This window comes from Homo sapiens, chromosome 13, assembly GCF_000001405.40.
Source record: "Homo sapiens chromosome 13, GRCh38.p14 Primary Assembly".
Classification (NCBI taxonomy): domain Eukaryota; kingdom Metazoa; phylum Chordata; class Mammalia; order Primates; family Hominidae; genus Homo; species Homo sapiens.
This window is the reverse complement of record NC_000013.11, coordinates 42,463,272-42,489,060: the sequence shown is the minus strand read 5'-3', so window position 1 is coordinate 42,489,060 and position 25,789 is coordinate 42,463,272. Positions and strand designations below refer to the sequence as shown.

The window sequence follows — 25,789 nt, the reverse complement described above, 5'->3', positions numbered from 1 at the left end:
AGGTCTTTGATTCATTTTGAGTCAATTTTTGAATATGGTGTAAGACAGATCCAAATTTATTCTTCTGCAGGGAGATCTAGTTTTCCCAACATTTGTTGAAAAGACTATTCTTTACCCCATTGTCTTGGCACCCTTACTGAAAATCATTTGATCATATACAGGATCTCTGGGCTGTATTTCATTCCGCTGTTCTACATGTCTGTCTTTATGCCAGCACTACCCTGTCTTGATTACTGCAATTTTGTAATAAAATAAATAAAGAAATATGAGGCCTCCAGCTTTGTTCTTCTTTTTGAAGATTGTTTTGGCTATTTGGGATAATATTAGACAATCTTTTAAGCGAAAATTCAGATTTCTCTCATCTTAAAAGTCTCCAATATCTTCCTATGACATGTACAACTCAAACTTCTTACCAAGAGGACCCAAAACCTGCTGCGTAACCTGTGTGCGACCTGCCTGTCTGCCCTCCCATCTCAGCATGTTCTCTGCTTGTCCACAGTGCTCCAGTGCCACTGGCCACCTGTCTGCTCTCCAGCCCAGTTCCTCTGCCCGAGCGCTGTTCACTCACACATCTGTCCGTTTGTGCATTCTACATGTATTTATTGAGATCCTACTCTGTGTTGGGTCCTGTTATAGGTACTATGGATACAGCAATTGATGCTCATGGCTGATGCCTTCACAGCCTTTAGCTGAGAGGCTTTCCTCCTCACCCTGTCTAAATTTGTTCTTCCTCTTATGCCACCCCCCGCCCCATTCTCCACTCCTATATTCTACTTTTACTGCTTTCACAGACTTACTCTTCATTTTTTTAAAAAACCTGCATATTTTCTGTCTCTCTCATCAGACCTTAAGCTTCAAAAAGTCAGAGACTACAAAGACACTTGGGGGACATTCAGTACACATTTGTTGAAAGAATAAAGTGCGTTTGGCTGACGATTTTCTGAAAGGACAGTAAACTTGGGTATATAAAGGCTTCCTTTTAGAGGACTGAGAGGTCATTCACCTCTCTGAGCCCCTGTCATGGCTGTCGGTTTGAATGTCACCAAATCGCCATTTAGAAAGCTGGGTTAAACTTGCACTGAACACCGAATAAAGCATTATAGCCATAATTTCACTGTTTAAAAGAAGCAGGATTTCTGTGGACACTGAACATTTGTTTTCTCATCTTCTGATCTGATCCTTTCCAAAGAAAATTGGAAGATAAGAAATGTACCCCCATGTGTCATCTGAGAGCGAGAGTCTAATATCTGAGTAAAGGAAAGAAATACTTTCCCCTGAAAAACTAGCTTGTATTTTTTCTTATGAGTACCACTCACTGATTCAAAGTCATTGATTTAAAACAGAGAGTTGTTGGATTCCATTACTCTTCTGGACAAAAATGCTTTAAAATGTGAGTCAATCCAGGTTTAACCGAAAAGAAGAAGAAATGCTTCCTAAATAATCCCATGTTGATGGTCATTTAATTAAATGTAACCACTGATGTTATAACTCCCTAAATTACAAATGTGCCCCTGCCACGTTCGTATTACCCGAGTAAACTGAAATTCATGCGGCAAAATAAGCCATTTTACCACTTTCTTCCCTTGGGTTCACAACCCGAAAGTATTTGCTCATAGTAGATGAATGTAATATGGACACATATTTGCAAGTTTACCTCATAGTCAGCCACAAGGTAAATAAAGTCATCCATATTATAAACCCCCAAAACCATATTATAACTTTATACCATGAAACCTGCCAAAATTACATTTTATATCCTTACTGAATGTACACTGTGAAATTACCACTTCTTATATGGAATAGGAATGTCAGACTTGGTTGTCCTGCAGAAGATGAATCATGTGAATTATATTATTTTATCATATTTTATTTTCATTCAGACAGTTTCAATCCCCTGCAACACGTTCGAGCTGAACTGTTTGTTTAGTACATTCCCCTGGCCTATTAGTCATGAAAGAACCAGATAATCTAGTGATTATCTTGCGGGGGCTCACTCATTGCTTTTGGAAACAGGCCACAGATGAAGTAACAATAACCACACTGACAGAAAAAAACAAAAAAAAGCCAAGCCAGCAATATAATATTATGACAGCAGATCACATCTTGACTTGAAAAAGCAGAAGTAATAGTCTAGTTTCCTCCACTTTATACATATATATCATCTCCCTTGATGTTCTGCCCCTGTCTGCCACCAATCAATCTTCATCCAAGAAACATAGTCTAAATTTTCCCCAAGGATCTTCAGGAATGACTCACTGAGTGTAGCTGGAAGTACATGAGAAATTTTATTTCAAACATAAATATTTCCATTATGCTTCCTGAGGGGATACATAAGGTCAGGATATGTCATAGAATTTTGCTTCACAGCACATAATTTTCTCATTTTCACCACAATTATTTCTCTTCAGCAAACAGGTTAGAGTCCTTGCTAGAATGTTCATTACAAGATTGTTCAGAGTGACAAAAAATGAAAATCAACTCAAACGTCCAACATCAGAGGATGGGTTGAATCAACCATGGCCCACACATATCACTGGAATATGAGACAGGCATTAAAATAAATGATGATGTGAGAACATATTTGCTAATATGGAAAGATGTTAATTTTATATTGTCCATTGAAGAGAATAAATTCAGTAATATGTTCTCTTATACATGTTACATTATATATGAGAGAAGTATGTATAAGAAATATATATATAAGAACTAACCTATTTGTAATATAAAAGTATGTGTGTATTATAATAGATGCAACATTATAGTTTTTATGTATTTAATACACGATATGCGTAACATTATTTCTTTTGGAAAGTTTTTCCTGATTCCAGATTATATCATGCCTTCTTTTTTTTTTTTTTTTTTTGAGATGGAGTCTCGCTCTGTTGCCCAGGCTGGAGTGCAGTGGTGTGCTCTTGGCTCACTGCGACCTCCGCCTCCCGGGTTCAAGTGGTTCTCCTGCCTCAGCCTCCCGACCAGCTGGGATTACAAGTATGTGCCACCACGCCCAGCTAATTGTTGTATTTTTAGTAGAGATGGAATTTCACCATGTTGGCCAGGGTGGTCTCAAACTCCTGACCTCAGGTGATCTGTCCGCCTCGGCCTCCCAAAGTGCTGGGATTATAGGCATGAGCCACCATGCCTAGCCTATGCCCTCTTTTTAAATATTAATATTATCCTAGAATACAGACTTTCCCTTTATAGCACTTATCACAATTGTAAATAAACATGTAATTGCATCATAGTTGTTTGAGCCTGTCTTCCTACCCAATTTTTTTCTTCATTTTGATTTTCTGTATTTTCTAATTTTTCAACAATGGTTATATACTTTTTTAACAAAAAGAACTTAATAGAATAACAAATGGAATTGTATTAGTCAGCTTTTGCCGTAATGATGCTGCAATCAATTCCAGAATATCAAAGTCTAAAACAATAAGTCTTCATTTCTCTCCCAGTGTCTGTGGGTCATCTGGGTGGCTCTGTTCCAGAACGTAGGTCAAGTTCAGGTTTTCTCCTATGGAGAGTTAGGCAGAAGGATTAGTTCTTACCTGGGACTTGCTGTTCTCATGGCAGGAGGCAGGAGCACAAGAGAGACCTGCAGAAACATGCAAAGCCTTTTAAAACCTCTGTCAGAATTGGCATTTACATATGCCCACCCTCTATCTGTCAAAACAAGTCACACGGCCAAGCCCAAGGACAATGGAGCAAAGATGTGTATTCTGCCTCCTGTGAGGCATGGTAAGTCACCTGACAACAGGAAGAAATGTATTATTACAGAGAAGAAGGAAAGATTTGAGTATAATAATCCAATATAGCACAATACTAATATTTTCTAGTAACTAAGGCCAGTTTTGTGCTAGTAGTCCAAGTATAAAAGGCAGAATCACAAACAACATCAAGCTCTAAACACAAGGGCTGAGTCCTTGAACTAAACAACAGCTTTCAAAAACATACACATCAGTGGAGATAATTAGCAACAGTGTCCGAATTTAAGAGTAACAACACAGCAAAGAAAAATAAGCTGACTATATCAATTGTTGTATGTGGCAGATTGTTGCATTAATAGTCCTCAAAGTTTCACACCAGATTCACATCTCCCTGTAAACCAGTTATTTTCAACTGAAGGCAATTTTTCCATGCAAAGGTCATTGGCAATGTTAGAGACATGTTTGTGTGTTATGGTCTGGGGTGTGTGAAGGTTATGGCCTGAACTGCTACTGATATCTGAGGGGTAGAAGCCAGGAATGCTGTTGAATGTCCTACAATGCACAGGATGGCCCACAAGACAAAGAATTTTCCAGCCCCAATATCAGTAGTGTTGCTGTTCAGAAACCCTGCTGTAAATATACACCTTCCCACATTCACTCTTGGTTTGGCCATGCTATTTTTTTTGGCCAGTGTGGCATTACCAAGTATAACACAAGCAGGGGTGTAAAAAGTGATTGCTCACTGGGGCTTGCTATCTCTGGTTACATTTGGAATCCAGCCACCATGAGAAGAAGCCTGAACTTGTTAAATGCTAGAGACATGGAACACAGTTGCTCCCACTGCCCCTGTCAATCACATGAATTAGACCATCCAGAGCCAATTATCCCTTGGCACACCCACCAGCTACCTGCAGCCATGTGAGTGAACCCAGGCAACTGCCCAGATGAGCATAGACCATATTGACAAACAACAGTATCAGGAGCTAATAAATGATTGTTTTTTTAAGTCACTGCATTTGGAGACAGTTTATTATGAAGCAAAGATATTGTACTTTTGGGAATACAGCACAAGATGCTGTGATCAAAGGACTCAGACATACAATAGTTTAAATAGAAGTTTTCACATAAAAGTCCAGGACTCCTCAACACAGGTTTTCCATCTCTGAGTCCAAAGTGGCTCCTCCAGTTCCCGCTATCACAACTACATCTCAGTCAGCAGAAAGGGAGAAGACACAATGGATGTTCACATAACAATCCTTTCAGGTCAGGACTTGAATGTGCCACATATCATTTTTGTTCATATCCCATCGCCAAAACATAATCACATGGCCACATCTAGCTGCAATAAGAAGCTGAGAAATACTGACTTTAGCTGTGGCAAAATTCTTTGTGCTTAGGAAAACAATCCAGTAGAGTAGAAGAAAAGAAGAATGAATTTTGGAAAACAGTTGACTGCTATAGTGATTTAAACTTCTCACGAAAAATTGTTAATTACATGTACATATCAGATGAGGTGGTCAGGTGGTAGCCTGGGCTATCCAGAAAACTGCTTCAATCCTCCATTTCACTTTGCCATGTCACTTTAAAAATCACTTGCACTTGAATCTGTAACACGATTTATATTTTTTAATGGGGAAAAAGTTGATTTCCATCACAGTAGAAGATAACATGAATTTTCTTAACACAAATATTTTCTTCTAATTTCCACTATGAAATCCGATTATTTTCCCAAGGAAATATTCCCAGTATGTGGAAGTTTTTAAAGCAAAAGTGAGCACCCAGGCCATAGCCTTTGGAATGCTTTAGCATCATTTTTCCATTTTTATCATCTCTCACAAATTTTCTCTGGTATTATCTAATCCACAGAAAATTTTACACACCTGGGTACCAGATCATAAGGCCTTCTGGACCCTAGTAAGGGTTTAGCTTTAACAGGGTAATATAACCAACATAAAAGAAAACTAGACAAAATGTATGAATGAGAGTACACAGAAAAGGAAATATGAATGACCTATAAACCTAGAAACATGTGTGTCCTCCCTCCATTGAAGAAATAGAAATCAAAAACTACACCGAAATACCACTTTTCACTTATACAATTATATGCTTGATAACACATTGTTGGTGAGAATGTAGATAGTTACTCTTATTCATTGCTAATAGGACTATAAATTGTTTAATCCTAGAGAAAAATTATCAGGAACTGTATAATTTTAAAAATGTATATACTCTTTGAGGGGCCGGGTGCGGTGGCTCACACCTGTAATCCCAGCACTTTGGGAGGCCGAGGTGGGTGGATCATGACGTCAGGAGATCGAGACCATCCTGGCTAACACGGTGAAACCCCATCTCTACTAAAAATACAAAAAATTAGCCAGACATGGTGGCGGGCGCCTGTAGTCCCAGCTACTCAGGAGGCTGAGGCAGGAGAAAGGCGTGAACCCGGGAGGCGGAGGTTGCAGTGAGCCGAGATTGCACCACTGCACTCCAGCCTGGGCGACAGAGCGAGACTCCACCTCAAAAAAAAAAAAAAAAGTATATACCCTTTGAGTTAATAATTCCATTTCTAGAAATTTATCTTACTAATATATTTATACACATAATGCTTTAAGATGTTTTTCTGAAGCTTTGTTTGGCCAAGGGAAAAGAGGGAAAAACCTAACTGTTTATTAGCAGGGGATTTGTTAATCATAGTACATCCACACAATGGAATATTATATAGCTATAAAGAAGAACCAATATTAAATAATTTCTGAAATACTCTTTTAATTTAAAAAGGCATAGAGGTATAGAACACTGTGCATAATGCTGTCATTTGTTTAAAAGGAAGAGAATGTTTGAAACTACACAAAATCGTTAGAAGAATAAATGAGTTGACACCAGTGCTTACCTCTTGGGGGAGATGGGAACCAGGCTGACACAGGATAGAAAAGGAGTGTAAATTTTTCAATAAACATATTTTTATATTTTTTTATATTTGAACCATGTGAAGATATTTTCTCTTCAAAGAAAATTACACAGGGTTTGGTGGGTTTTTTGGTTGTCTTTCTTTGTGTTTGAGTCGGATTCTGTCTCTGTTGCCCAGGCTGGAGTGCAGTGGTGTAATCTCAGCTCACTGCAACCTCCACCTCCCAGGCTCAAGTGACTCTTCTGCCTCAGCCTCCTGAGTAGCTGGGACTACAAGAATGCTCCACCACACCTGACCAATTTTTATATTTTTAGTAGAGAGAGTTTCACTATGTTGGCCAGGCTGGTCTTGAACTCCTGACCTCAAGTGATCTATCTGCCCACCTCGGCCTCCCAAAGTGCTGGGATTACAGGCATGAGCCACCATGCCCGGCCTACACAGGGCTTGTTTTTAAGTGAAAAGTACTATATCGCTTGTTGAAGATACTGTATTATATTAATGCAGCCTAAAATTATATTTCTTTATTTTTAATCATTACATCATATTGAGATCTTAGTAAATTAAAGCCTCTATCTCCTTTCTGGATGTACTGCTCTTATATCAAGTCCTTTTATTTGTACCTACTTGATTTTTTTCATCCAAACATACAGCTGTTTTTAAAAAGCTTAAAAACTTTGGCCGGGCGCGGTGGCTCACTCCTGTAATCCTAGCACCTTGGGAGGCTGAGGCGGGTGGATCACGAGGTCAGGAGATCGAGACCATCCTGGCTAACATGGTGAAACTCCGTCTCTACTAAAAATACAAAAAAAAATCAGCCAGGTGTGGTGGCGGGTGCTTGTAGTCCCAGCTACTCAGGAGGCTGAGGCAGGAGAATGGCGTGAACCTGGGAGGCGGAGCTTGCAGTGAGCCGAGATCGTGCCACTGCACTCCAGCCTGGGCGACAGAGACTCCTGTCTCAAAAAAAAAAAAAAAAAAAACTTAAAGTAAGCTCCCTCCTGTCATTTGCATTTCCTACCATTTTTAATAAGTAAAATCCAGAATAGCACATACTTCCAACAATTATTTACCAATTATTGAGATACTAAAACTAATATTCTGGTACTAAGTTAAATTCTGTGGGTGATACAAAGATTTCATATATGTATAAATGTATATTATATATGTAAATTTTATGTATGTAAATGTATATTGTGTGTGTGTGTGTATATATATAAGTATGTGTGTATACACATACACACATATGCCACAGCTTATATATGATAGTCATATGGTTAAAGTTCTTAGATATACTACTTATTTTTTTTCTTTCTTTCTTTTTTTTTTTTTCTTTTTGAGACAGAGTCTCACTGGTCACCCACCTGGAGTGCAGTGGCATGATCTTGGCTCACTGCAAGCTCCGCCTGCTGTGTTCACGCCATTCTCCTGCCTCAGCCTCCTGAAGCTGGGACTACAGGTGCCCGCCACAATGCCTGGCTAATTTTTTGTATTTTTAGTAGAGACGGGGTTTCACAGTGTTAGCCAGGATGGTCTCAATCTCCTGACCTCGTGATCCGCCCACCTCGGCCTCCCAAAGTGCTGGGATTACAGGCCTGAGCCACCATGCCTGGCCTACTACTTATATTTTTAAACATTTTGAGTAAAATCTCAATTTGCATTTTCTTAGAAACTTCCAAGTATACAAGGCAGATTTACAAATAGGCAATCTATTTTTAGGGGCTCTCAGCTCTGTCATTCAAAAGAAACAGAATGGTAATTCCTTTCAATAAAAACTAAGCCATCTTTTCCCTAAAATTAAACACATTTCACATAGTTATTAAAACTGGTGAATTTGAGAAGTATATATAATTTTACAGCAATGGCAATAATAAAACTGATTTTTCATCAGGTTTTTTAAAGAGCACGTGCTCATTGCAGAAAACTTGTAAAATACACAGACCTACAAAGAAGAAAATTAATGTCACCTGTAATCTCACGAGTTAGAGATACCCACTGCTAACATTCCAGTTCACCACCAGCCAGTCATCCTAACCAGTCAACATTAACTCCATGTCAAACCATCAGCTTTGACTTTTGTCAGTGTTCTAAAGCTGACTGGAGTTCATTCTCTCATTTCTCAGTAGATGAGAAAACTAAGACTGGTTTTCTCATCTACTCATGAGACCTTCAGCAACTCAGCTTTACCTCCAGATATTGGTTTAACCTAGAAGATCAAGAGAGGCAAGAGATTCATCCAGAGTGTGGGAGTGGGGAGGGCAGGTTCCACATCAGAAGGAAGGGCAGCACTTCCCTTCCCCTGCCTGTCCAGCACATTTTGGGATGTCTTGTGTCTGCTCATCCAAGTCTCCTCTGCCTCCCCTTTAGGCCACATCATGGGTGTGGCTCCGAGTTATGAGTTCTGACCAGCACCCAGAAAGGGATGGAAATTCCTGGAATTAGGGGTAGAGAGAAGGAAGGGCAGAAAACAAAGGGGATAAGTAAAGCAATCTTCTCGACCAACATGCATTTCTTCAAGGCCTAAAGTGGAAAAACACAAGAATCAGTGATAAGTGATGATAGAGCATTGATAAAATATGGGGAAATCAGAAACATCTTAACTACAGTTCACTTCTATTATCTGAGTATAATAAAACTATCTGCACTTTAATGTCTGTGAATCCATGACTACTCATCCTCAGTTTCTCCTTCCTCAGCTCCCATGGCACTCTATCACCAAATCCTGTCAATCACATTGGCCTTAAATGTAATGCTTTCTATCTCCACTGCCACCATAATCTTTCACGAGAATGTATCTGGTCTCCCTGCTTCCACACCTGCCTCCCACAATCAGTGGTCTTTGGGAAAAGAAAGACCATGGCATATCAGTTTCCTGGTCAAAACTCATCAAACTTCCCAGTTGCCCAAATGCTGGGCATGCCCCACAAGGTCCCATGTGATCTGGCTGCCAACCTGCAACTTCATCCCACTGCTCTTGCTCTCACCCTCGACTCCAGCCCCCTGATCTTCTTCCAGGTCCTTCCACAGGCCGGTCTCTCCCCTCTCGGGGCCTTCCACAAGCTCATCTCTGCCTGGAGGCACCTCCCATGTCTCTGCTACCACTCCCTTCTTAATCTTTAGGTCTCAGTTTAAACATCACAGAGAGTAACAAGGAATCACACCTAGGTGTTAAGAAACACATCAAAATGTTACAGTTCTTTCTCCGGGGAGAGATTCTGGAGGGTTTGTTTTTTTTTAATACTAACGTGTATTTCCTAAATTAACTACAATTAAATAAAACTATCTGCACTTTAATGTCTGTGAATCCATGACTACTCATCCTCAGTTTCTCCTTCCTCAGCTCCCATGGCACTCTATCACCAAATCCTGTCAATCACATTGGCCTTAAATGTAATGCTTGTTGTTTTCACAATCAGAAAAAAAAAAAAACAAAAAAACCTCTGTTAATCATTTTCCTAGCCTGCAGAGTGTTGTCATAGTTGATGGTCCCAGCACCTCTGTGAAGTAAGGTAGTACAGGCACAACACCTCACTGCTGCTGCGCTTCGCACTTCTGCCACTCTGTCTTTCTCCAGGAGCAGCATCTCCCTGTTTCCAGATACTCTTTCATTGCCTCATGTGACCAAACACACTTTCCCCTTTGTTCAGAATGCACTCACCCTGCTCCTGCTCCAAGTCTTGACAGAATCCCAGCTCATCTTTTTAGCTCAGCGCAAAACATCACCTCTAGATGGAGCTTAAGGTCCCAGCAGAATAACTTTCTTTGGCCTCCATATTCCAATGACTCTGGGTTCTTTTCTCTGCAAGAGCACCTTGTTCTTTGCTCTGGGATTTGTCCCTGAATAATGACTCTGTTCCCTGGAACAGGAGCAGGACCCAGTCTGTCTTCTTCCCCATTGTACCCCCAGGACCCAGGCCAGTGCCTAGCAGGGAGAAAATATTCAACTGCTGTGGCTGTGTATTGAATGAATAAATGAACTCGATTATACAGGTAAGGAAATTGAGGCACAAAGACTTAAGTAATCTGATAAATTTGCAACCTCTTCACTCATTTTCTTTTTAATTTGAGAGATACTTCAATACAAAATAAAGTTATTAAAATAGGAACAGGACCAAATTTAAAATACATTGAAAACATTCAAGGGCCCAGCTTATAAATGGTGAAGCAGAATATGCAGAGGCTTCCTGACTACAAGCTCAGTGCTTTTCAACTGCACCATGCTTTACCAAAAGTGGGTCTATGTAATCTGTTGTTGACTGGCAGGGTTTATCTCTTATTTATTGTTTAGGTGACTTCAATCTTCAGAGTTGAACCAGAATACACTCGGGGCAGCATGTTTTCCCACTAATATTTTGCTACAGACACAACCGTGAAACCTATGGCTTCTGTCCAATGAACCCCCTCAGTCACCACAATTGCACAATGAAGCACATGCAATGTATAAACAAAATGGCTTGAAACACAGAACATAGACTTAGAAGTTACAGCCACATAAAGCAGTGAGATACTTAAGCTAGTGTGACCCCTGACTGTTCTGAACACGCCGACCAACACATTTATCCAGTGGCCAGTTGGCCCCCAGAAAGCAGCTCACCGACATGACTTGGCAGTACTCCCTGGGGCTACACTCATTCCTGGTGGCACCAGGCAGGGCGCCAGGCATCACCCTCTGCATGCGAGACAGCAGGGCAAGGTGCCCAAGGCTTTGAGACAAAAACATCTGTCGAAGTCACCAAGTTGTCGGTTGTCTGAGTTCACCCCGCTGGGTGAGTACACTGCCAGGCCAATTCCAGGATCAGTCCCTGTCCCTGTGAGGGACATTGCAAGCTCCAGAACCCAAGCCCAAGGGTCAGCTGACATGGAAACAAATGCAAAAGCCTCCCCATCACCATCAGCAGGTGGATAAGGGTTGGGGGCAGAAGCTAAGCCCCTCCTGACTCATGCTAAGATCCGAAACATAAGGCTTGAGCCATTTCTAGATGACAGCAAAGCAACTTGTAGAAATGCAAATTAAAAAAACTTGTCTCATAATCTTTTTTTTTAACTGTGCCTTTTCAACAAGATGCCAAATAATAGATTGATTAATTTTTTTTTTTTTTTTTTCACAGAAAAGACTGCTTCTGGAAGTGGGCTTTTTCCTTTTTTGTTGTCTTATTTTGTTGGTTTTTTAATAGGCTTAGAACAATTCAGGGACAGAAGGGTCCTTAAATATCATCCCCTCCAGCCCCCTGACCCATGGAGTGGCTGCAGTGTTTTCTACTGATTTAGTCACTACTGTGCTTTATAACAGAGGCATCAAGATATGCAAGAATCAGGCAGAGCAAGTGTTAGCTAAAGCAAGCTAGCTCACCTTACCAGAAGGAATTTAAAGTTCAGAATCAAATTCCTTACGAATGAACTGTCCAAAGGGATTCCTAATCACTTTGCCATTCGATGCACCACCTTATTTTTTTTTATTTTTATTATTATTTTTTTTTAGTATTTATTGATCATTCTTGGGTGTTTCTCAGAGAGGGGGATGTGGCAGAGTCATAGGATAATAGTGGAGAGAAGGTCAGCAGATAAACACGTGAACAAAGGTCTCTGGTTTTCCTAGGCAGAGGACCCTTTGGCCTTCCGCAGTGTTTGTGTCCCTGGGTACTTGAGATTAGGGAGTGGTGATGACTCTTAACCAGTATGCTGCCTTCAAGCATCTGTTTAACAAAGCACATCTTGCACCGCCCTTAATCCATTTAACCCTGAGTGGACACAGCACATGTTTCAGAGAGCATGGGGTTGGGGGTAAGGTTATAGATTAACAGCATCCCAAGGCAGAAGAATTTTTCTTAGTACAGAACAAAATGGAGTCTCCTATGTCTACTTCTTTCTACACAGACACAGTAACAATCTGATCTCTCTTTCTTTTCCCCACATTTCCCCCTTTTCTTTTCAACAAAACCCCCATCGTCATCATGGCCCATTCTCGATGGTCGCTGTCTCTTCGGAGCTGTTGGGTACACCTCCCAGACGGGGCGGCCGGGCGGAGGCGCTCCCCACCTCCCAGACGGGGCGGCCGGGCGGAGGCGCTCCCCACCTCCCAGACGGGGCGGCCGGGCGGAGGCGCTCCCCACCTCCCAGACGGGGCGGCCGGGCGGAGACGCTCCTCACCTCCCAGATGGGGCGGCCGGGCAGAGGCGCTCCTCACTTCCCAGATGGCACCACCTTATTTTTATAATCAGAATGGATACCTACTTCACATGATGCTTATGCCTATATTGCAATCTGTAGAAATAATGTGATTATTTGGAGGGTAATAGCAATATGACCAATTTATTTCCAAACATCCTATTTGCTAGTCAGCAAATGAATCAATACACAGTAACTTTTCCTGTGTGGTCTACTTCCCATGTGCACATCTATATTTGTTTATTCATTCAATCAAAATACTTATATTCCCACTATACATTAGGCACCATGCCAGACACTAGATTTATATAATGCTGCATAAGAGACAGAACCTTCCCTCAGGAAACTTTAGCTGGAGACTCTTCATCCATCAAATCTGTCCGTTCTAAACATGGGGAAGGTATAGACACTCCAGGTTCATGATGCACAGAGGTGGTAGAGCAGAAACCATGACCATGCTGGCCTCAAGAGAGCCCAACACTAGCCTCAGAGAACTCAGGGGAAGCACTGGTATTTGTAACATATGTCTTTGGTTGTTTTTCTATTTTAAATCACTCACCTCGAGTCAGGTTATAAATTCTTCAAGATTAAAATGAATAGTCATCACAATGCAATAGCAGAGTTTTATGTACTGGGTAATAAGAAGTCATAAAGCTCATCACAGGAAGAGTGCCATAATGCAAATAGCATCCCCCAAATCAAAGGCCAAATCTGGATCATAAGGCTGATCCTTTGTAGCTTGCAAAGTTGGTTGCTGCAAATGTATCACTAGAACTGTGTGACAGCGACAGTCACCTAAAATGGAATTTTACCTGGTCAATGTCACTTTTATTTTAATCATCCCCAGCTCAGTATCCTTGGTGTGATCTCTCTATAGGCAAATCTTTTTCCCTTGGTTTTTCATGTGTATAAATTCAGAACCTATTTTCCAAATGGGCATTTGGCTGTGTGATTTGGCTCACTCACACAACTAAGATGGCAGAAGTATCCTGAACTCTACGTGTAGTCCACGGAGACATTCCATGCGGATGTACTGTTTCACAGGAAGCTAGCTGTTGGGTTAAGAAAACATATAGGCCAAACATACAATGACATCAGGCCTCCTTCCCTGACGCCAGCTGCGTGTTTGATGTGGTGACATTCTAAAGCCATGTGATGCCAATTTCAGTTGTATGATTCATATTGTTAACCTTTGGAAATGCTGAACATAAATGAATGACCCTAAATTCTACCCAGCTGTACAAGAAGCACTATTTGTAAATAGTCTCTTCCCTGTCATCATCCTCTAACTTAAAGAAATTCTTTAGTTAGTTCAGCAATGTAGGCAATTAGTTCAATAGTTCATCAAGCAACTACAGTCACAACTTGCAAATTGCTTTAGCTCAGCTCCCCTCTGCTAACAATGGACCTAATCAGCATTTATCCTATAGTATCATTATCCAAAAATATCTGCTTAACAGAAGTGAATCAGAAGCAATAGCTTCAAGGATTGGAAGTCAACCAAGTTCCCTTTATGCTAGCCCCTCATCACCAAGAAAGAAGACATCCTTCAAATCCATTATGAATTATCATTTGAATTCTCACACACTCTTCTATCATGCAACAACAGAGAGTGTTTGGAGAGATGGGCCAGTACCATCCTGAGATCATTTGCTGTCCTTTCAAAATAAAATATGAGAAATGCTAGCATAGTTTTGATGCTGATTAGATTTCCCATGACCTATGTTCAGAAAAGTCATAAGCAATGGCACTTGTCTTGAAAATCTTTTTCTGATACAGACTCGTGAAGTAGGAATAATTTTGATATCTATGTAGAATGTTAACTTTAGTGCAATAGAAAAATTAATGAGCACGCACCATGCAACATGTAAGTGTTCAATGAGTCCTTACAACAGGGATGGTAGCAGAGGTCAAATGTTTATAGCAATACTTCTGAGAGTAACTCATGGCTTAATTCTTTTATTAACACTTCTAGTCATAATTCCCGAACAAGCAAGACAGTGAGTAATTGACCCAAATTCAATCTTCATTGCATTTTTCCCCACATCTTTCATTCTCAAAAGACCAGTCAGCTTGATTTTTAATTTTTTGGGATATCTCAAATAGACAGACTTCATATAAAGTATCCATTTTAAGCACATAGTGAATTCCAGATGTGATCACAACTGCATATCTAAAGAGCCACCTGATGCTGACTGAGCATTTCCTCTGTGTCAGCCACCATGTTTAGTGCTTTATGGACCAGTTCTCTTAATCTCACACCAGCCCTATTGTTTTATATGATATTGTATTATATATTATTTTAGGTTATTTTTCTATTATTATTCCTGTTTCTTAGATGATGAGACTGAATCACAGAGATTTTCGTTACCTCTCTGCAGTCAGATAGCAAGTAAACAGCAGAGTTGGGGTTGAGATCCAGGTTTTAGAGGCTGTGAAATGTCTAAGCATTTAACCCTTAACCTTGTATGAATGAATTCTTGAGAGCAATTGTATCACCTTCACGTTTCTTCCAGTGCAAAGAATACCATTTAACTCATTTCACATTGGCCAGTGATTGAAGTGTGGTAGAAAGTGGCTGATTGATCATTTGCCAAATGACGCATTAAAATCAGGAAACCTGAGCTGGTGTTGCTGCCACGGAAACTGACCAGAAGAATTTTCTGATAGTTGAGAAACTACTGGGGCAAGAGAGAGGTCCCCACCGGTTAACACGCTTGCTTAAAATTAAACAAAATCGGCTGGGTGCAGTGGCTCATGCCTGTAATCCCAGCACTTTGGGAGGCTGAGGTGGGCGGATCATGAGGTCAGGAGTTCGAGACCAGCCTGACCAACATGGTGAAACCCCACGTCTACTAAAAATACCAAAAAAAAAAAAATTAGCCAGATGTGGTGGCACGCACCTGTAATCCCAGCTACTCAGGAGGCCGAGGCAGGAGAATCGCTTGAACCCGGGAAGCAGAGGTTGCAATGAGCCAAGATTGCGCCACTGCGCTCCAGCCTGTGCAACAGAGTGAGATTCTGCCTCAAAAAAAAAAAGTTAAACAAAATCTTTTACGGCTTTTGTTGTTGTTGTTGTTGTTGTTGTTGTTGATGTTGTTGTTGTTGTTGTTGTTGTTGAGACAGAATCTCAGTCCCCCAGGCTGGAATGCAGTGGCCCAATCCCGACTCGTTGCAACCCCTGCCTCCCAGGTTCAAGCGATTCTCCTGCCTCAGCGCCCTGAGTAACTGGAATTATAGGTGTGCACCACCACGCCTGGCTAGTGTTTGTATTTTTAGTAGAGATGGGGTTTCGTTATGTGGCCCGCGCTGGTCTCCAACTCCTGGGCTCAAGCGATCCACCTGCCTCAGCCTCCCAAAGTGCTGGGATTACCAGCATGAGCACCGTGCCTAGCCCAAAATCTTTTAAAGTCAGAAACTTGTAGCTATATCCTAATCACAGAGATATTTTCAATATGTTCAATATTTTAGTGTGTTCTGAATTTGATTTTATCACCAGTGGAAATAAACTATATTAGACTACATGAAACCAAATAATCAACCTGACTGAATTTTTAACAGGTTATCTTTTTTTTTTTATAAGAACAAGATACAAGAGTCCAAAGATTTTTTTTAAAAATAACGTTGAGAAATGGAAAGTATGCTGAGATCAGACACTTGAGTAAGAAGATAGTTAATTTATTTAAAAGAATAGGGTCTTAAGAGAGTCTTTTAATGGAGGGTTTTTTAGTTGCAGTCCCAAAAACACAACCTGAACTGACTTAACACACACACACAAAAACTTTACTGGCTCATGTAACTGGAAAGTCTAGGAGATAAATCTAGTTTGTCAGAAAAATCACACATTATCTTCAAGAATCTATTCCTCTTGTGTTGGCTTCCTTCTCAGACAGATTTTTTCTCTGTCGTAGTCTGGATAATCCTTAGCAACTCCAGTCTTACATCCTATCAGCTTAACATCCATCACAGAAACAAAGCTCCTCTTTCCTAACAGCTTTGGCAAAAGTCTCAGGACAAGCTCCCATTGGCTCAATTAGAGTCACATGTTTATTCCAGATCCACCAATCACTGTGGGAAGGGAGGGAGCTATTGGACTCTAGGTCTGGTCAGATAGTCATTTCTGGAATTGCAGGAGAGAGTGGGAGAAAGCGAACCACTAAAGGAAAATGAGGCTGCTATTATAAAAGGAAGGAAGAAATAGGGTTTTGAAGACAAAAACGACAGATTCCTAGGATCAGGGAGAAAACTATTCTAAGGTCATAATTCAGTTTCTGACAGATAGTTTATTTGATTCCTTTGCTAACCTGTACGTTGCTTGTCTCTGATGAGTCTTTGTATGAGCATCTCACATAGACAATATTCACTTTGCAAAATCAGGAATAGAGGTGCGGGGAACAGTTCCTCCTCTATCCACTTGCAACTTCTCTATCCTCTATCCACTTGCAAAGGAATTAGAGTCTAATTCCTTTGGGTATTGAAAACATCAGATTTTTAGAATCTTATATTAAAATGCAAGAGTCTTCATAAAGAAGCTGTATCTTAAACATTTACCAACTGTCAGACACATTGAAACGGGAATGAGAGGATGCTGAAAAGAGCAGCTGAAACTTACTGAGGAGAAAATTTGCTAACCGCAGTTTCACCTAGTGCCGACCCAGGCAACCATCCTTATAACTGATGGCTAGCAATGATGAATGCATATACGTGTGTGCGTGTGTGTGCGTGTGTGTGTGTGTGTGTATGCATGATTTCATCGTAACTGTTTTAGTACAATAGTAAAACATGTTCATTTTAGTAAATAGATAAATTAATTAAAAGAATACAAAAATCAACTGTTCCTCCCCCAAACCCATAACCCCAGCCTAATCATAACAAAAACATAGACAAATTCCGATAGTGGGGCATCCTACAAAATACCTGACCAATACTCCTCAAAACTGTCATGGTTAACAAAAACAAATGTCTGAGAAACTGTCACAACCAAGAGGTTCCTAAGGAGACATGATGCTAAATGTAATGTGGTATCCTAGATGGGATCCTGGAACAGGGAAAAAGACACTAAATAGAAACTAAAGAAATTCTAACAAAGTATGAATTTTAGTTAATGATATTTCAGTGTTGATTTATTAATGTAACAAATGTATGCTACTGATATAGGATGGTAATAATAGGGGAAACTGGATATGGGATATATGGTAACCCTCTCCACTATCTTCTCAACTTTCTGTAAATCTACAACCGCTCTAAAAAAAAGTCTATTTAAATTATGTAAAAAAAAAAATCAATTGTAATCTCACCATTCAAAGTAAACGTGTTAATATATTAGTATCTATATTTCTAAATGTTTTATCTATGTATACATTTTCTTTTATAAAAATAAATCGAAATATTTTGGATTATGTTTTATTGCTTTTAACAATAAGTTATGAATATTGTGTCAATCAGTTTTTCTACAGCTATATTTTTTCTGAATAAAGTTTTATTGGAACACATGAAATCCATTTGTTTATATATTGTCCATGGTTACTTTTGTTTATTTGTTTTTTTTAATTTTTTATTTTATATTTCTGTGAGCTCATAGTAGCTATATATATTTATATGGTACATGAGATGTTTTGATACAGGCATCCAATGTGTTTACATCACATCATGTAAAATGGGGTTTTCATCCCCTCAAGTATTTATCCTTTGTGTTACAAACAATCCCATTATACTCTTTTAGTTATTTTTAAATGTACTATTAAATTCTTATTGACTGTAGTCACCCTATTATGCTATCAAATGCTGGGAATTATTCATTCTTTCTAATTTTTTTGTACCCATTAACCATCCCCACTGTGCCCCCACCCCAACCCTCCCACTACCCTTCCCAGCCTCTGTTAACCATCCTTCTGCTCTTTAGCTCCATGAGTTCAATTGTTTTGATTTTCAGATCCCACAAATAAATGAGAATATGCTATGTTTGTCTTTATGTGCCTGGCTTATTTCAGTTAGCATAATGACCTCCAGTTCCATCCATCTTGTGCAAATGACAGGATCTCATTCATTTTCATGGCTGAATAAGTACTCCATTGTGTGTATATGGGACATTTTCTTTATCCGTTCATCTGTTGATATACACTTAGGTTGCCTCCAAATTTTGACTATTGCAAACAGTGCTGAAACAAACATGGGAGTGCAGATATCTCATCAATATACTGATATCCTTTCTTTCAGGTATATGCCCAGCAGTGAGATTGTTGGATCACATGGTAGTTCTATTTTTAGTTTTTTGAGGAACTTCCAAACTGTTCTCCATAGTGGTTGTGCTCATTTAAATTCCCACCAACAGTGTACATGTGTTCCCTTTTCTCCACATCCTCAGCAGCCTTTGTTATTGCTGTCTTTTGGATATAAGCCATTTTAACTGGGATGAAATAATATCTCACTGTAGTTTTGATTTGCATTTATCTGATGATCAACAGTGTTGATCATCTTTTCATATATCTGTTTGCCTTATGTATGTCTTCTTTTGATAAATGTCTATTCAAACATTTTGCTGTTTTTAATCAGATTATTATATTTTTTTCTATAGAGTTGTTTGGGCTCCTTATATATTCTGTTTATTAATCCCTTGTCAGATGGGTAGCTTGCAAATATTTTCTCCCATTCTGTAGGTTGTCTCTTGACTTTGTTGATAGTTTCCTTTGCCGTGCAGAAGCTTTTTAACTTGATGAGACCCCATTTGTCCATTTTTGCCTTGGTTGCGTGTACTTGCGGGGTATTACTCAAGAAATCTTTGCCCAGACCAATGTCCTGGAGAGTTTCCTTGATGTTTTCTTGTAGTAGTTTCAAAGTTTGAGGCCTTACATTTCAGTCTTCAATCCTTTTTTTTTAATTTTTTTTAATTTTGATACAGAGTCTCTCACTGTCACCCAGGCTGGAGTGCAATGGCACAATCTTGGCTCACTGCAACCTCTGCCTCCTGGGTTCAAGCGATTCTCCTGCCTCAGCCTTCCAAGTATCTGGGATTACAGGTTCCCACCACCATGCCCAGCTAATTTTTGTTATTTTTAGTAGAGATGGGGTTTCACCATGTTGGCCAGGCTAGTCTTGAACTCCTGACCTCAGGTGATCCACGCACCTTGGCCTCCCAAAGTGCTGAGATTACAGGCGTAAGCCACCATGCTGGACCTTTAATCCATTTTGACTTGATTTTTGTATATGGCAAGAGATAGAGATCTAGTTTCATTTTTCTGCATATGGATACCCAGTTTTCCCAGCATCATTTATTGAAGAGACTGTCTTTTCCCCAGTGTACGTTTTTGACACCTTTGTCAAAAATGAGTTCACTGTAGGTGTGTGGATTTGTTTCTGGGTTCCCTATTCTGTTTCATTGGTCTACATGTATGTTTTTATGCCAGTACCACGCTATTGTGGTTACTATAGCTCCGTAGTATAATTTGAAGCCAGGTAACGTGATTCCTCCAGTTTCGTTCTTTTCACTTAGGATAGCTTTTGTTATTATGGGTCTTTTGTGGTTCCATATAAGTTTTAGGATTATTTTTTCTCTATTTGTGAGAAATGTCATTGGTACTTTGATAAGGATTGCATTGAATCTGTAGATTGCTTTGGGTAGTGTGGACATTTTTACAACATTGATTCTTACAATTCATGAACATGGAATATCTTCCCATTTTTTTAGTGTTTGCATTCCTTTGATGGGTATTTTATAGTTTTCATTATAGAGATCTTTCACTTCTTTGGTTAAATTAATTCCTAGGTATTTAATTTTATATGTGATTATTGTAAATAGGATTACTTTTTAATTTATTTTTCAGGTTGTTCACTATTGGTATGTAGAAATGCCAAATTTTTGTGTGTTGATTTTGTATCCTGCAAGCTTACTGAATTTGTTTATCAGTTCTAATAGTTTTTTGGTGGAGTCTTTAGGTTTTCCCAAATGTAAGATCATATTATCTGCAAACAAGGATAATTTGACTTCTTCCTTTCCAATTTGGATGCCCTTTATTTCTTTCTCTTGTCTGATTGCTCTAGCTAGGACTTCCAGTACTATGCTGAATAACAGTGGTGAAAGTGGGCGTCCTTGTCGTGTTCCAAATCTTAGAGGAAAGGCTTTCAGTTTTTCCCCATTCAGTATTATATTACCCGTGGGTCTGTCATATACGGCTTTTATAATGTTGAGATATGTTTCTTCTATACCCAGTTTTTTGAGGGTTTTCATCATGAAGGGGTTAACTTTTATCAAATGCTTTTTCAGCATCAATTGAAATGATCACATGATTTTTGTCCTTCATTCTGTTAATATGATGTATCACACTGATTGATTTGCATATGTTGAACCATCCTTGCATCCCAAGGATAAATTTCACTTGGTCAGGAGAAATGGCCTTTTTTAATGTATTGTTGTTTTGCTAGTATTTTGTTGAGGATTTTTGCATCAATATTCATCAGAGATATTGGCCTGTAATTTTCTTTTTCTTTTTTTTTTTTTGATGTGTTTTTGTCTGGTTTTGGCATCAGGATAATACTGGCCTCACAGAATAAGTTTGGAAGTGTTCCCTCCTCCTCTATTTTTTGGAATAATTTGAGTAGAATTCATATTAGTTCTTTTTAAAATGTCTGGTAGAATTCAGCAGTGAAGTCATCAGGTCCTGGACTTTTCTTTACTGGGAGACTTTTTATTACAGCTTTGATCTCATTACTTGTTATTGGTCTGTTCAGGTTTTGGATTTCTTCATGGTTCAGTCTTGGTAGATTGCATGTGTGTAGGAATTTGTCCATTCTTCTAAATTTCCCAATTTATTGGCATATAGTTGCTCATAGTAACCAATAATTGTCCTTTGAGTTTCTGCAGTATCAGTTGTAATGTCTCCTTTTTCAACTTTGAGTTTATTTATTTGGATCTGCTTATTTTTTCTCAGTCTGGCTAAAAGTTTACCAATTATGTTTAACTTTTCAAAAACCAACTTTTTGTTTCATTGATCTTTCGTATTATTTTCTTTATTTCAATTTCATTTTTGTCTGATCTTTATTGTTTCTTTTTCTTCTACTAATTTTGGCTTTGGTTTGCTCTTGCTTTTCTAATTCTTTGAGATGCATCATTCTTTTTTATGAAGTTTTTCTTCTTTTTTAATGTAGGCACTTATAGCTACAAAATTCCCTCTTAGTACTCCTTTATACAGCCATATTTCAAGGCTACATATATATCTACCTCAATTTATTAAGCTGGTGCTTTATAGTTAAACATTTAGGTGTTCCCCATTTTCTTTGCTCTGAAGTATGTTTTGATGTTTCAAATTTTCTAATGTTAATAAATAATGTTGTTTAGTGTTTCATTTGCCTGTTTTTTTATTTTACAAAATGGGATAATATGGTGTTTTATGCTCTGCTTAAGTCACTCACAATACATTATAAACACCTCTCTGCATCAGTGAACATGAACTACAACATAAAGTCAAAACCTTGCCCCTTCTCAACAGCTGCATCCACTAATAAGCAATACCCAAAAAAGTTTTTTCAAGTTGGGGCTTTGTAAAAACCATTACGGAACACAGAATTACATCATGAATTAAATATAGTTTATTATCAGATGAACTGAATAGGAATTTGAATTAAACAACCCACAACCAGAACATTTATTTATTTATTTAATATGGAACTCTCTTCTTAACTAGTAATGGCCCCTCCTTAAGAGATGTGGCCAAAAGCAAGTTTTCTGTTCTGGTTATTGACCCGGACCTATTTAAGAGGTTATTTGCTGGTCCTTGTTACACTCTACCTGGGCCCAGAAACCACAGTAAACATCATTAGATGGTATCAGGATTTATCTACAAATTGTAGAAAATCCCAGGCCTTTCTGCAATTACTCAAAAGTTGCTTTTTTATTTTTAAGTGTAGAATCTTCATTTCCTTAGTTCTAACCACGTCTAATTTTATTTACTACTTCCTTGGTTCTAACCGCACTATTTCCTTGGTTCTAAGCACGTCTGTCATTTCCTACTTTATAGATTCTAATTATATAATGAGACAAACTATATGAAGGACTCAGTGTGGCACATAGATTACTCCAATTACTCAATAAGAGTTATTGGTTACTATTAGCTATACGAATGCTGTAAATACAACTCTCCTATGAGTCTAGAGAAAGACTGCTGTCAAATGTCTCACTGTGGGAGGAGGAAGGGTTTTAAAGCTCCCTTAGCTTTTGGCAAGACAGGATCAATTTCTAATCTGTGTAATTCCTGAAAGACTTTAACCTCTCCATTGTGTAGTGTTATTTACTTTCTCTATATTTCTCATTCTCACAATAGCCCTCCCCAGCAGCTATAATTATACTTAAGAGGCAACCTTTCTTACCTTTCTTCTGCTCCACCAGACCCCTTCTATAGAACATTAATCATAATGATATGTACGTATATTTACACATCTGAACAGAAAATTGGATTTCGGACAGATAGACACACAAGGAATATGTGTATCTGTTACACAAGCCGTAGTCTAGCTGTTCCTTCATCATTCCATTTGTGAACTGGAAATGACAAAGTATTTGCAACATTCCTAATTATGTTAACAAATATGAAAATATTTAAATGACAATAATTAAGCTCTGATGAATGAAAAGCTTTCAGAAAGAAGTGCTAAAGTATGTAAACTCACTTATTAAAGTAGTGTTAAGTAGTGTTGGTTTTGCTACTATGGTATTTAGACACCAGAGGGTTTTTTTTAAATAATTTCAAATTTCATTTTAGATTCAGGGAGTACATGTGTAGGTTTGTCACATGAGTATATTGCATAACGCTGAGGTTTGGCATATGGATGATCCTGTCGCCCAGGTAGTGAGCATAGTACCCAATAGTTAGTTTTTCAACCCATGCCCCTCTTCCTCCTTCTCCACTCTAGTAGTCCGCAGTGGCTATTATTGCCATCTTTATGCCCATGAGTATCTAATGTTTAGCTCCCACTTAAAAATTAGAACATGCGATATTTGGTTTTCTGTTCCTGCGTTAATCTTTGAATAATGGCCTCCAGATGCATCCATGTTGCTGCAGAGGACATGATTTTATTCTTTTTATGGCTGCATAGTATTATATAATGCATATGTACCAATTTTTTTTTATCCAAGCCTCCACTGATGGACACCTAGGTTGCTTCCATGTCTATTGTGAATAGTGTGGTGATAAACATATGAGTGAATCTTTTTGATAACATATGAGTGTGTCTTTTTGGTAGAATGATTTATTTTCTTTTATATATATATACCCAGTAATGGCATTGCTGGGTCAAATAATAGTTCTGCTTTAAGTTATTTGAGAAATCTTCAAACTGTTTTCTACATGGCTGAGCTAAAAACATTACTACCAACAGTGTGTAAGTGTTACCTTTTCTCTACATTTTTGCCAGCATCTGTTGTTTTTTTGACTTTTTAATAGTAGTCATTCTGACTGGTGTAAGATGGTATCTCACTGTGGTTTTTATTTGCATTTCTCTTATGATTAGTGACATTGAGCATCTTTTCACATGTTTCTTGACCACTCGTATGTCTTATTTTGAGAAGTGTCTGTTTACGTCTTTTGCCCATTTTTTTATTATACGCTAAGTTCTGGGATACATGTGCAGCATGTTACATAGGTATACACATGCCATGGTGGTTTACTGCACCATCAACCCGTCATCTACATTAGGTATTTCTCCTAATGCTCTCCCTCACCTAGCCCCCCCAACTCCCCAACAGGCTCCAGTGTGTGACGCTCCCCTCCCTGTGTCCACATGTTCTTGTTGTTCAACTCCCACTTATGAGTGAGAACATGTGGTGTTTGGTTTTCTCTTCCTGTGTTAGTTTGCAGAGAATGATGGCTTACAGCTTCATCCATGTCCCTGCAAAGGACATAAACTCATCCTTTTTTATGGCTGCATAGTATTCCATGATGTATATGTGCCACATTTTCTTTATCCAGTCTATCATTGATGGGCATTTGGGTTGGTTCCAAGTCTTTGCTATTGTGAACAGTGTTGCAATAAACATATGTGCACATGTGTCTTTATAGCAGAATGATTTATAATCCTTAGGGTATATACACAGTAATGGGATTGCTGGGACAAATGGTATTTCTGGTTTTAGTTCCTTGAGGAATTGCCACACTGTCTTCCACAATGGTTGAACTAAATTATACTCCCACCAACAATGTAAAAGCATTCCTATTTCTCCACATCCTCTCCAGCATCTGTTCTTTCCTGACTTGTTGATGTGTAGTGCTATTTCTGAGGCCTCTGTTCTGTTCCATTGGTCTATATATCTGTTTTGGTACCAGTACCATGCTGTTTTGGTTACTGTAGCCTCATAGTATAGTTTGAAGTCAGGTAGTGTCATGCCTCCAGCTTTGTTCATTTGCTTAGGATTGTCTTGGCTATACGGGCTCTTTTTTGGTTCCATATGAAATTTAAAGTAGTTTTTCTAATTCTGTGAAGAAAGTCAGTGGTAGCTTGATGGGGATAGCATTGAATGTATAAATTACTCTGGGTAGTACAGCCATTTTCACGATATTGATTCTTCCTATCCATGAGCATGGAATGTTTTTCCATTTGTTTGTGTCCTCTCTGATTTCGTTGAGCAATGGTTTGTAGTCCTCCTTGAAGAGGCCCTTCACATCCCTTGTAAGTTGGATTCCTAGGTATTTTATTCTCTGTGTAGCAATCGTGAATAGGAGTTCACTCATGATTTGGCTCTCTGTTTGCCTGTTATTGGTGTCTAGGAATGCTTGTGATTTTTGCACATTGATTTGGTATCCAGAAATTTTTCTGAAGTTGTTTATCAGCTTAAGGAGAATTTTGGGCTGAGATGATGGGGTTTTCTAAATATACAATCATGTCATCTGCAAACAGAGACAACTTGACTTCCTCTCTCCCTATTTGAATACCCTTTATTTCTTTCTCTTGCCTGATTGCCTTAGCCAGAGCTTCCAATACTATGTTGAACAGGAGTGGTGAAAGAGGGTATCCTTGTCTTGTGCCGGTTTTC

The 25,789-nt window shown here is 38.9% G+C and overlaps 1 long non-coding RNA gene across 1 annotated transcript in view; it reads right to left on the bottom strand.

Annotated features, from left to right (window-relative positions):
• Nucleotides 1-3,104: 3,104 nt before the first annotated feature.
• LINC02341 (long intergenic non-protein coding RNA 2341) overlaps nucleotides 3,105-25,789 on the bottom strand; it is a 61,065-nt gene continuing 38,380 nt past the window's right edge. Inside the window, exon 4 of the long non-coding RNA NR_135319.1 lies at nucleotides 3,105-3,592. This is a non-coding gene — a long non-coding RNA (long intergenic non-protein coding RNA 2341). The remainder of the gene's footprint in view (nucleotides 3,593-25,789) is intronic.